Below are 13,441 nucleotides of genomic sequence, written 5' to 3'. Positions count from 1 at the left end.
GGAAGGCAGCCAAGGAAAGGGAGGGGTGGCAGGAGTTCACAGAAACAAGAGAAAAAGTCATGAAATGTATTTTGTTTATGTGCTAAGTTACATAAATTACAGAAACTATTTAGTAGTTCAAACTCCAGGGAGTTGATAATATTATTTCCATTTACAGGATGAAGAAACTGAGTCTCAAAGCAGTTAATTACTTGCCCAAGACTACATGGCTGTACTGTGTCTGAGCTGTGTTTGAACCTAGGTCTCTTTGAATTTCAGAAATATGCACAGTAGCTAGACTAGCAATAGTCAAACCTATCAGCATTTCAGACACTATGGAGCCATAATTCCCAGGGGAGGGGCCCAATAATATGTATTTTTAGAAAGCTACTTAAATGCCACAGATGACTGACCAGCAAAGTTTGGGGACTATTTATCTAGCAGTCTGTGCACCTCCATTGGCAGGTGAGAAGATGAATGTCCTCAAAGGTCAAATGGCTCAGGAGATATACCTCACTGTGGCAAAGCATGTTCTAATCCCAGATTCCCTAACCCTCAGCTCCTCTCAATCCTTGCAGTGTGGTACAGCAGGGCTTCTCAAGGGTGATGATGCACGTGAGAATCACGTGGAATCTTGGTAAACTACAGATGCTCTTCAGGACATCTGCAATGGGATCTGAGATTCTGCATTTTTAGCTAGTTCCCTAAGGACACCAAGTGCTTCTGGTGTGAGGACTACACTAGAGTTTCCTGGAAAGCTTGTTATTGCTGTCCAGGCGCCCACTCTAGGTTTAGAGATCTGAGAACTCAGCCCTTTCATCTGAATGTGTGACAATGTCCTTAATACACTATTTTGTGCTCAGTGATAGAAAATAGTGTTTCAGTGAGTATGTGATAGTGTTGAGAAAAGAGATGGTGTTGAATGGAACAAAATGAAGAGGGAAAGACGTGAAATGATGTGCATTGCTGATGTAGTGAGATCTTTCAAAGTGAAACTGGAAGATTGTATTTACAGAGGAGTTGGGAGAAGAGACTTGAGGCAATTAGGCAGACAAGTCAAATCTTCCAAAGTTCTGGCTTCACTATTGGATAAGTGGGTATTTTTAACTTGATTAATCTGGATAATTGGTAAGGGAGAAGTTCTATCACTTCTGATGTGGACAGAGATTGCAGCAGCAGGTGCAGAGTGGTCATGGCCTTGTTGGGACTCTGGACCCTCTTTCCCCCAAGGTCTGGGTATTTGTTCATCCTTGCTACCCCTGTCCCTCTCCATGTCTGACCTTCAGGGGCAATTTCCAGATACAAACTTGAGTGTTGCCTTCTAGCAAAACCTAATTATCCAGGCACGGTTACCAGCCACCCTCTTTCTGTAGAATTTCACTTTACTGCCATGAATTTCATGTTTATCTAAGAGATGGATCAGGGAATTAAGAAATATTGTCTTCATCATTGGATGACCATTCTTCCCCCCTTCTAGAGAGGTTATGCAATGTAATTGAGCTTGCATTTCTGTATGTCTTATGGCAGAGGAACCTGCTCTAAGAGCCTTACCAAGGAGACTCTAGCCAGGAAGCAAACACCACTGCATTATTCAGATATTATAAATCATCATCTCTTTTCCAATGCCACTCGCTTCCAGCTCAGAATGACCAATGAACAGAGTTCATGTCAATGTTGCTGGACACCCAGCTTTCCTGTGATCTCCTGTGTGGGGCTCAAATCCTCAGAGAGGCTGAAGTTTTCAATTTCACAGGTTGTTGGTACAGGGAAGCCCACCAGGCAGCCTCAGGAAAGGTGGTGTGGAAATGGCACACATCCTGAGAGATATGGTAGGAAAGAAACAAAGTGTTTTTTCTTCTCTTACACAGTCAACACAGAACACTGAATACTTCACCTCTGATCACCAAAAAGTGTGTGTGTGGCGGGGGCGGTGCGGTGGGGGGATTCTTCCCACCAGCAAGTAATTCTCCAGTGGACACTAGTTGCACGTACTGCTACTTATTCTATTCTATTCTCTACCTGAAGATAGTGTTGGATCCCACAGATTTAGTGCTCAGACTCACAAGACTGGCCCCCATTTCAAAAAATTGCAAGTAGTACATTGTCACCTATATTTATTCCAGAACAGCTTGATATGGTTTAGTTCTATGTTCCCACCCAAATGTCACCTTGAATTGTAGTTTCCATAATTCCTAAGTGTCATGGGAGGGACCCAGTGAAGGGTAATTTAATCATGGGCGTGGTTACCCTCATGCTGTTCTCGTGATAGTGAGTGAATTCTCAGGAGATCTGATGATTTTATAAGGGGCTTTTCCCCTTTCGCTTGGCACTTCTCCTTCCTGCCATCATGTGAAGAAGGACATGTTTCCTTCCCTTTCTGCCATGATTGTAAATTTCTTGAGGCCTCCCCAGCCCTGCAGAACTGTGAGTCAATTAAACCTCTTTCTTTTATAAATTATCCAGTCTCGAGTATGTCTTTATTAGCAGTATGAGAATGGACTAAAACACAGCTATAAGGCCAAGTTCTTGCTACTTGCTCCCAGGGTCTAATTAATTTGCAGATCAGCTCACAGAAATCAGAGAAACACCATTTTTTTGTTTACCCATGTATTACAAAGAGAATTACCAAGGATCCAGATAAACCGTCAGATTGAAGAGATGTATAGCGTCAGGTATGGGGAAGGAGCATGGAGCTTGCTTGACCTTTCTGGATGCACCACCATTTAGAACCTCCATGTGTTCCCCTTTCCAGAACCTGCTCGAACCCAGTCCTTTTGCAATTTCATAGAGGCTTCATATCCTAGGCATGATTAATTACATAATTGGCCATTGGTGGTCAACTCAGCCTGCAGCCCCTCTTTCCTCCATATGCTTGGTTGCTTTTCTGGTGACCAGCTGCCAGCCTGAGCTATCTAGGAGCCCTCAGTCCCCAGTCATGGCATTAGCATACAAAGGACACTCTTACAGCTGCAGAGATTCTAAGGGTTTTATGAGCTGTTTGTCAGGAGAGGGGAGGAAGACCAAATACCAAATACTTATTTCACTTTTTCAGAACCTGACTCATGCTCTGTTCTCCTTGGGTTCACTCAGTATCCTCAGGTACATCATTAACCTCACTCAGCCCTACTGCCCATCTATAAAGTGGAACAAGTCATTCTACCAAATTTCATGGGATAGCATTTAATTCATGAAATGCTTTGTTTATCCATCATATGAAATGAGCTAGTCCACACAAGTAAATATCTAAATAAAACTCCAAAGCAATTTTTAAAATTTCAATTATTGCTCCAGAGCTCTTTCTAAGGAATGCTTCCTAAGAGAACACTTTCCCTTCTTTGGCTTGTTAAACGTAGTATATGTGATATTTTGTAAACTTATTTTAATGACTCAAGGTCGTCTTTGTGAACTGTGTTTATTGTGCAGTGCTGAAGTTTGGCGATTCTCTCTGGAGCTGTTGAAGTGCATGATTATTTGCTTCTGCAAAAGATAGCCCCAAGTCGCTATGCTTTTGAATACTTTCTATATTTTTTTCTTATTCTTCTTTGCCATCAAGATACCAAGCATCAATTTTTGCTGCTGAGATATCATTTATCTTTAGTCACCATACATCTTCCTCCTGCCCTGTTGACTTCAGTCCCTTTAAGTTTCTACTTTGGCAATGGTTCTCAAAGTAAGATTCATTGACCCCTGAGGATACTCAAGACCCTTTCAGAGGGTTTGTGAGGTTGAAACTCTTATTGCTGTGAGGTCAAAGCTGTTTTCAAGGTAATACTAAGACATTGTTAGCCTTTCCCAATTTGTCCTGTTAGTACAAAAGCAATGGAGGTTTCACATGGTGGAGCCTTGGCACTAATCAATGTAGCATCATTGGCTTTGCTAGCAGTCATTGCATTCCTCACTGCCACAAACTCACAGTAAAAAAAAAAAAAGTCACTTTAACTTAAGAATATTCTTGTTGAGCCAGCATAAATTAATTTGATTACATCTCAACCCTGGAACGCATGAGTTTTCAGCATTCTGTGAGATGAAATAGCAGTATGCCCAAAGCACAAAGTACAATGTTTTCCCAAGGAAAAATCACCTGTTAGACTGTTTGGTTGCCAGCTCAAGTAGCCATCCCACCCCCACAACAGCACTGTATTTGAAAAAACAACTGACATATAACTCAACATTATTCACACTTGAGTATCTAGCAGATCTTTTCTTGAAAATGAATAATGTGGGCCTGTCACTTGGACGAAAACCACTGACAGCATTTGTTGCTAAAAATGGAATTTGAGCTTTTGAGCTAAAATTAGAACTTTGGAAAACTTGTATTTGCTTTCATGAGCTTGACAGGTTCCCAGTGCCTAAAGACATTTCTGATGAGATTGGTGGCAATATTAACAGATGTGATTTTTTTTTTAACTTTCGTATAACGAAGTATGTCAACATTTGGAAGATATGCATATCGCAGTGAATAAAGATCCTCTACATAACCAATATGTAATGTTCCAAAATGATATGTGGAGCAAAAAAGGAATCTATATTAGGCAAGGTTCTCCAGAGAAACAGAACCAGTAGGATCTCTCTCTCTCTCTCTCTTTCTCTCTCTCTATCTATATATATATGTATATGTGTGTATATATATATATATATTCTCTATATAGATATATATTATCCTATATATATGTAGATATATATATAGGAAGTAGATATGTATGTATGTATGTATGTATGTATGTATGTATGTATGTGTGAAGAGAGAGAGAGAGAGAGAAAGGAATTGGCTCATGTGATGATTACGGAGGCTGAGAAGTCCCAAGACCTGCCTTCTCCAAGCACAAGACCCAGGGGAGCAGATGGTGTAGTTCCAGTTGGAGTCCAAAGGCCTGAGTACCAGCAGAACCAACAGTGGAAGTTCTAGTCCAAGGCTGACAGCCTGAAGGCCTGAGGCCAGGAGGGTCAGTGGTATAAGTGTGAGCTAGAGGGCAGGAGCGGGTTCCTGTTCCAGCCTGAGCAGGCAGGCAGAAAGAGCAAACTCTCCCTCTGCCTTTCTGTTCTGTTCAGGCCCTCAGTGAATTGTATGATGCCTGCCCACATTGGGAAGGATGGCCCAATGAATTTTAATGGAACAGAGTACAAAACATTCATTGACATGGTCTCAGATTCTGAAATTAAGCTTTAAGAAACTACCATTTGTTGAGTTTTGGTGTACACAAAAGAATAATACACACAATTGTCTGAAAGGGCTATTAAATGCTTTATTTCCTAACTCCCTCACTTTATGAGGGAGGCTACATTTTCTTCACATATGTCAACCAGAACAATCTATTGAATAGACTGAGTGTGGAAGCAGATGTGGGGATCTACCTGTCTCTATTATGGCAGACATTGGCATTATTTACCAAAATGTCAAAACTGTCTTTACTGATCTTTATGTTGGAAAATATTTATTTTTCATCGTAATAGGTACTTACGTTAAAATGTAATGGGTTTATCAGTGTTTTTTAAAAAAAGAATCATTATTTTTAAAAAAATTATTCAAATTTCTAACATGGCAAATGTTGATAAGCATAATACTACAAAGCAAGTTGTTAGAAGTCCTCAATAATTGTTTAAGAATGTCATGGGGTCCTGAGGAAAAAAGTTTGACAATTGCTGTTCTTATTAGTTCTTATTCCTTTTATATTATTGTCTCATCAAAACCTCACAGCAATCATGCAAGACAGGCTGAAAAGGAATCACCGGTCTTTATCTTGCTGCTGTGCATAATTAAACTGCAAGTCTAGAATCCACACTTTTTAGCTCCTAGTCAGGGGTGTGTTCACTGTGGTTGGCCAGAGGAAGTGGGTAGAATATAACCAGATTTATGCAACTTATCTTCTATGCATGTTAGTTGGGTCCGAGTGGGGTTCTGAGGTATCCTTTTATGAATCGTCATGCTCTTTGATGCATGGATTGTGTAGTGTCCATCTTTTGCTGCTTAAATGCCTTTGTTTCTCCCACCACCCCTACATGTTCATGTCTTACTTCCTCAGCTTATGTGTTACCCAAGAGACCTTCTCTGTCCACTCAGGATAGAATAGTCTTTCCCACATATCTCCCCACCTCCCATCCCACTTCAACCTGCTTGATTTATTTTTTCCTGCATCACTGACCCATTGACAAATTCCATGTTATTGGTTTGTTGACTGGCTCTCCTCTCTGGAATCTAAGCTCTTCCACGGCAGACACTTTGCCTGTCCTTTTCACTAGCGTGGACCCATGCATAGACCTGTGCCTGGCACAAAATAGCTGATATTTGTTGAATGAAATAATTCATTCAACAAGGCATTGAGTGAGCATAACATAGGAAGAGACAGCCCATTGCCTCAGTTCCCCAGAGGGCTCAGCAGACCGTACACCAGGCAGCTGGGGCAGGAGTGCTTTAGCCCTGAATTGGGAATCTGGGTGGCAGGCCATGGACAGCACCAGAGAAAGGGAAACAAAGGTTCAGGGCAAGTGGTTGGCACATAGTGATCACTCAGCACTTTTTAGTGGATGGAGGTCTTATTGCTTTGGCATGTCTTCACAGTCCTTATTAAGGTTTGCTGTTATATTGGTATTTGTTTGGTTATCTCTTTACCACCTGCCTCCTCCATAGAAGGCAGGAATCCCATAGCATTCACTGACGGAGCATCCATAATCAGTGCCTCAAACAAGTTGACACTCAATAAATATTTGTTAAAGCATGAATCTCTTTATCATGAATTCTATGTGTTTGTAAATGTATCAGTGTAGGTTTGGTCTTTCTGAACAACTCTATTGTAAGCGTCTTAAGAGCAGAGTAGATGTCTCACCACTTGTGTTATTGGTCTTATTACCTATCGGAAGCAGCCATGCCCTACGACTGTGTTCAAGGCCACTCATGCATGGCCCTGCTCAATTCGTCAGCCTCATGGAGCCTCTTGTGTTTTCAGAGCATTTGACTCCCTCTATCTCTGTGCTTCGTGACACGGTACCTCTGCTGCCTGGAATGCCCTTTCAAAATGTGTTGATTATGCTAATTCATCCTCATTCTCTGGGTCTCAGCTCGGGTCTCAGCTCCTCCCAGAAACCACCCACAGCAGTCTGGTTCTGTGGCCTCCTGTCTTCCCCTTGCCTCTGCGGCATCCCTCCCCCCATGCATGAGCCACATTCTATTGTCATCATCTTCATCACATCAAGACTGCCAGATCCCTGAAGGGAGTGATTGCCTGACACAGCTGTATTCCTTCTGCCTAATGCAGGCATTGACAGATTAATGAGCATGATTAATAAGCTTTCGTTTAATCAGGGAATTGTAAAAATAGAGTATTACAGAAAAGTATGGTTTAAATCTTTAAGGAATTTCAATTGGACTATGTTGAACAATACTCAATAGACAATAATAACACACATTTATTTGATAACTTCCTCTGACAAGTCCAATGCACTTTACGTGTTCACTACTGCTCTTTCTCCCACACCTGATGCCTTAGGTGAATGCCATTGATTCTTCATGGAAGAGAGTTGGGTACCCACCCTCACCACCCTCTACATGAAACACAGGTAGAATCATTTATCATTTGTGGATTATGGGCTAATGTGGAAGGCAAGAAGTCTTTTCAGCTATTTTCTATTGCTGCTGACAACAGTGCACTTGGAAATGAGCAAGACAGATCACGAGGGTATTTGACTAGATATATGGAATTTCTTCTCATTAAAATCCCTGAACTCTAAAAAAATTAACTAAAACTAAATTTAAAATTTCCTGCCCGGTGTGACCTCTCCTGCCTTAAAATTCCTCTAACATTTATTAGAATTATGAGCTATTTAATTCTCAAGGTCTTGGACATCTTTTCTTTTGTTCTGACTTGTTCAATTTTTCATTGTTATGTAAAGTTTCATATGTTTATGCACTGTTTTCTCAATTGCACTGTGCTCTCCTGAACAATGGGAAACTGTTTATCCTTTTAGCTGCAGTTCATAAAATGCCAAAGGTTTCCTCTGAACCTCTGTAGGTGTCTCTGTGAGGGTTAGAGAAAGCGAGGAGAGACGGTGGGAGAGAGACAATATGAACAGCTGTGAGAATGAGATAGTGAGCACTAGACTACAAAACCTTGAATTCCTATACCTCCCCTCTACCCCAACCCCAAAATAGCAGCTCAGATTTTGCAACTCGATAAAATTTTAATAGAGGATTTTATTGGCAGAGAGAGAGAGGATTCCACTACTTAAGTTTGACAGTCAATAACCACTAACGCATATCATCTGTTATGTCATCTGATGTCTGTGCTTTCTCTCTAAAATGTAAGCTGTGTGAGGGCAGAGATTATAGTCTATAGAGTAAGTTATGCCTTACATATGAATGAATGAATGAATGAATGAATGAATGAATGAATTTGACAAAGAAGGTTTTTGACAGACAACGGTAGTCTCTATCAATATGTAATGGCTTAGGATATTTAAACACAAGAGAACTGCTTTTGAGTCTGGAATGATTTAAATGTACAGTGAACATATAATGTAGTGTCTACACTGAGACCGTTTTGAAAATGACGGGACTGGCATCCATATTACAGAAGATGAACAAATGTAAACAAAGACTATCTCCAGCAAGGGAGATAGCATGCTCCTAAGTGGCATCTCAAAGGGATCTCACTCGAGGGCGGATTTGAAGATTTAACCTTTGCCCACGGGAACCTCAAGTCCTATTTGTTTCTGCCCTATTAGAAGTGGTTATTACTTGCAGGGAACCATCCAGTCCCACAGGGACACTGCTATGGGAAGGAGGTGACCTTTTGAGTTAAGGGAATCTCACCGGTAGCATGTAAGCCATCTCAGGTCACTGCACACTCCAGGCTTCTCTCAGGCTAAGCAGCCAGTTGGCATCTCTGAGGCGCCCACCAGATGGGTGTACAATACACTGTGTGATCATTTGCAAAGTAAAGGAAGGCTGTGGTTCTGTGCTTAATTTACAGAGTGTACAATTAAACAGAAATGAGATGCGCAAACTCTGTGAAACTTTTTGCAATGCTGGTATGAGGAGCATGGGATTTAGATAAGATCGTTTAAGAATGTAGCTGTTATGTTTTAGGAGACAGGGTTCGACCTGTAATATATCCAGGTTTATGTGATACATTCTATTATAATGGTCTTATACTCTGTTCATGAAATTACAAATGTCTCACAGGAAAAGGTTAGTCAGATGTTATACTGGCAATGCCCCTGACATGTTTATTCAGTCCAGGGTCAGAGCATGATTATTAAACCCTACTGAAAAAAATAAATTGACATTTTAGACTGAAAATCACATCCCTTCTAGGGGGTGTGCATACTGGCTGTGTGCAGATATTATATGTCCCTGCAGTTATGAAGCAATTTATGTGCTGGTGTGGATTTCCAACAAGTCAGTTCATCCTGTTTCCCATAGAGTAGGCTAGATTGGATCTGAAGGCAGCCCTTCTCTCCTCTCTGTAATGGGCAAAATTTAATAGGTTACAGAAAGCCACAAACCCTATTCAACATGGCTGCTGCCATGTTCCCGAAGGCCCTGGGTGCTGGCTTCTCCCATCATCTGTCCTCTGTCCTCAGCTGGGAGCCCTCTGCGAGGCTGTCGCAGTGAGCAGTGTGTGGAAGAGGCAGTGGAGCATCTCCGCAGTAGAGGGGCTGTTACCGCAGGATAGTGAGGGCCTGGTGCCTCCTGATGAGATATTAGCCCACTGAAGCCTGACCTCGGAAGAGTGGGCTCTGGCTCACTGAGCATCGGTCCTCACCCTTCCAAATCAGGCTTCCACCATCACACTTTTCAGATTAGTTATCTCCCAGGAATGGATGCAAACACTGATTTTCTCAGACCTCATTTCCCAGGAACAAGTTATGACCTGGGAGAAGCTGGGTCTGTAAAACTAGCAACGAAAGCTAAAGGTGACCCTCTCATCCTTTGAAGTCTAAAATTATAGACCATACAAATGAGACCAATTAAGAAACAATGTGCTTTGCAGGATTTGATGCAATAGATACATGTTGAATGATGTCTATTTGCCAGTCCTGGTTTCTTAACCTTCCCCCGCAAAAACCTAGCATGTGTTGTGCACATAGTAGGCATCTTCCCTTGCTAATCATATAGAAGTGACAAACTATGTTGAGAAGGCAAAACATGAAAATAGCAGTTGCCACATGACTGCAATTTCCTTCAGTTCACTTAGAAGGGCAGAATTGTCTTCTGCAACCAGAATCCACTTAGCCAAGAGTCATCAGCAATGTTCCTCAGAAAAGTAGTACCAGTAAGGAAATAACCTGCAGTGTGAATTCCAGAATGTCTCTTCCTCCTCACCCTGTCCATGCTGTGTCCCTACCCTCTGTGCCATCCCAGTTCTGCCTGCTGAAGTGAGAACATTTCAAGGCTTCTTTGAGCACTGCCTGTAGCCAGAGCTATGTTTCTTTGTACCAGCCCCACGCCCAACCAGCTAAATAGTATCTGCTCTGTCCTCGAAACCCTGCCGAGGGGCTTAATCACCATGCATTTTTTGGGTTATTTCTTGCTAAGCTTATATTTAGTTATGAGTAATCAGTCTTACCCTCAGCACTAGACAATTAGATGACATAAGACTGGCACTGCATTTTGTTGCTGAATGGACTCACTCGTTCTTTGTATTTTTCTGCGGTCCTTTTGTGGGGCCCGATCATGTGTTAGGAATTACACCCGGCCCTGGGGATGCCCCTGGGAATGAAATGGATGGTCTTTGTAGTCACCGAGCTTCCTTCTCTCTAGTGGGAGATGTCAGCGATTCAATACGCATTTACATTTTGGTGCAGGTTTCTCAGCTTTGGTGCTAGTGATATTTGGGGTCAGATAATTATTTGTCAAGGGAGACTGTCCTGTGCAATGTAGTACAGCTTTCCTAACCTCAGCCATAAAGACCAAAACTGTCTCTAGACACTGCCAAATGTATCCTGTGGACAAAATTACCAGGTTGAGAATTACTGCTCTAACATGACAAATGCGAAGATAAATGTACGTTCTACAGGAACCCAGATGAGGGGCATCTAACAAAGACCCTAAAGTCAAGGAAGTCATAACAGTCAAGAGCCCAGTGGGAAATAGATGGCATCTTCAACTTTGAGCAACTCTAGGCAGCCTGAATAAGACAATCCCTTACAAGATGTGGGCATGGTGCAGGGAGACTATACAGAGGAGACTTATAAGCAAGGTCAGATATGTCCAGGGGAAAGGAGGAGGGGTGGTATATGAATGACACCTATTATTTCTATGTTTGAAATCTCACTTATAAGAATGTTTGTGTTCATGGTTGATTTGTTGGGGCTGCCCGTCTGGCTGGTGAGAAATTCAATCTGAGTCATATTTTGGGAGACTGTCTTTCCTCACTGGAGTATACAGAATGCTGAGAAAGGGTCTTTAGTTATTAGTCCTTAGTGGTAGGCTTATTGTGTAAGAGTTCAAAAATGTTTGTTGAGTGAAGGAACAAAGGAAGTGAGGGAGGACATGAAAAAAGGAGGTGAAGAAGGAAGGAAGGCAAGAAGGAAGGAAAGTAGGAAGGCAGGCAGGAAGGAAGGAAAGTAGGAAGGCAGGCAGGAAGGAAGGAAAAAAGGAAGGCAGGCAGGCAGGCAGGCTGAAAGAAGGAAGGAAGGAAGGAAGGAAGGAAGTGAGGAAGGGAGGGAGGGAGGGCAGGCTGGTGGATCACAGCTTTTAGATCCAGCTTCATCGTCACCCAGTGTGAGGTGCTGTCGCTGACTGGAGGTCTGCCTTGGAGATCGTGGGAAATGACAGGTAGTCTGCCACTGGTGGGGACTCCTTCACAAACCCAAGCTTTGGACCTTTCATCCTCCCCCAGCTTGGTGCCCACCCACCTCCGTGAGCCTAGACTCTGTTTGCTTGTTTCTGTGAAACAAAAGCTTGAATAGTAATAATCTTCTGGGTGCCTAGCAACTGCTTTAGACCCCATGACACAAAAGTCATTAACAACTCTGAGGCAAGAAGCTAAGAATTGAGGATTTGCAGGGCCTGCCACATTTTTGGGGATGGGGCAGGGAAAATGTTTCTCATTCCTTCCATTCTTCTACAGCTTTGAGAACAGAACACAAATCAGTTATCCAATAGCCTAGCCTGTCCTGTGACAATGGAGGAGCGTGACATTGAACCCAGGGAGGGAGCAAAGCGGTTTAGGGGAATTGAAACCTACTCTGTACCGCACAGAAATCCAGTGAGGGCAGAGTTTGAAAAACTGGTAATACAGAGGAAGAGAGAAAACGGGGCACAAAAAACCTAGAAAGTTACTGCGTTGATAACAGTTTTTACTGAGACCCATAAGGAACTGCAGCACATTGATGGAACACACACAAAAAAAGTCTTTTGTTTGTGCTTTTGTTCTCCACCAATCTACATGAGGTTCTGATGGGATGGATGGCCCACACCTTCCACCCAGTAGGAGGCACTCAGACTTTTAGGGCCCTAGATGGAGGCCCCACAGCAGGGGCAGCAACAGAGCCGCACCCCTCACCTAGAGCTGTGCAGAGTCCTGGCATCCCCTCAGTGCTCCTAAACAGGAATGGAATCGCCAGTCAAGAAGGTGCTATTTTTTATTTTTACCTGTTCATGTGTTGACTTTTTGGGACTGAAAACCCCAGAGCTGGGTATTTTCTTCAACACAGAAGCCAGACCAGCTGCATAAAGGACTGATCCCAGGCCTTCTAGAGTGTTCTGTGCCTCTGTGGTCTCAGGAATTCACCTGCTGTGTCCTCCCGTCTGCGCCCCCACCCCCGCCCCAGCCCTATACCCTTCCTGCTTCCCTCACCATCTCGTCAGTGTCCTTGCTAATTCGACAAAGTTAATACCCGATTAATAACTCCTATGATAGAAGAGTTCCTGGATGAGCTGTAGCCCCCATTTACAATCTGCTGGTGATAGAAAAATTATGTTCAGCTCAGTAATAATTGATGGAAATGGTCTCTTCTCTTCTGCAGCTGATTTGCTTTGTAATTGAGATTTAATAATGTAAATATCACTTGTTTTCTTCTCAAGATGAATTGCCTTCTGATTTGCTAAGCTCAAGCCTCTTTAGGGCTTTCTTATTGCTTTGTCTCTTCTCATGAGATTCTAGGTGAGATTTATTCCTTATTTAGCTGTGTTTCTCTTTATACACACATACACACACCCATGCACACACACACACATTGAGTCAATGGTTGGAAGGAACACATGTTACTTTTCAAACAGCTACTGACTATCGAAAATTAGAGCTAACGCTTTTTAGAAATCATCAAACCCCACCCCATTATTTTAACTAATGACAGAACAAGAAGCCTAGGGTGGTTACGCAATTTATCCAAATGGACACAGAAAGTCATAATCACTCCTGAGCCTAGTGTGGTGTTACTTCCTCAATGGTGAGGAAGGTTTGAAAAGAATCACCCTGCATCTTACTTTCTTTACTGCCATGCATTTATAACACTTGTGTGT

General features: G+C 42.4%; 1 protein-coding gene across 8 annotated transcripts in view, besides 1 other annotated feature; it reads left to right on the top strand.

Annotated features, from left to right (window-relative positions):
• The window catches only part of OPCML (opioid binding protein/cell adhesion molecule like), a 1,117,521-nt gene that overhangs the window by 1,068,376 nt on the left and 35,704 nt on the right, over nucleotides 1-13,441 (top strand). The gene's annotated exons all lie outside the window — the stretch shown is intronic.
• Nucleotides 9,534-9,714: a silencer, noted in NCBI's record as "fragment chr11:132324306-132324486 (GRCh37/hg19 assembly coordinates)". NCBI's record gives its function as "represses an EF-1alpha promoter that drives an FKBP-Casp9 reporter gene in an ReSE screen in phorbol 12-myristate 13-acetate-treated (for megakaryocytic differentiation) K562 erythroleukemia cells {active_cell/tissue: K562(+PMA)}" and the evidence as "EXISTENCE:reporter gene assay evidence [ECO:0000049][PMID:32094911]".

The sequence above is a fragment of the Homo sapiens genome, chromosome 11 (assembly GCF_000001405.40).
Source record: "Homo sapiens chromosome 11, GRCh38.p14 Primary Assembly".
Taxonomy (NCBI): Eukaryota; Metazoa; Chordata; class Mammalia; order Primates; family Hominidae; genus Homo; species Homo sapiens.
Note: the sequence above shows the minus strand (reverse complement) of the source record. Positions and strands in the feature narration are given on the sequence as shown.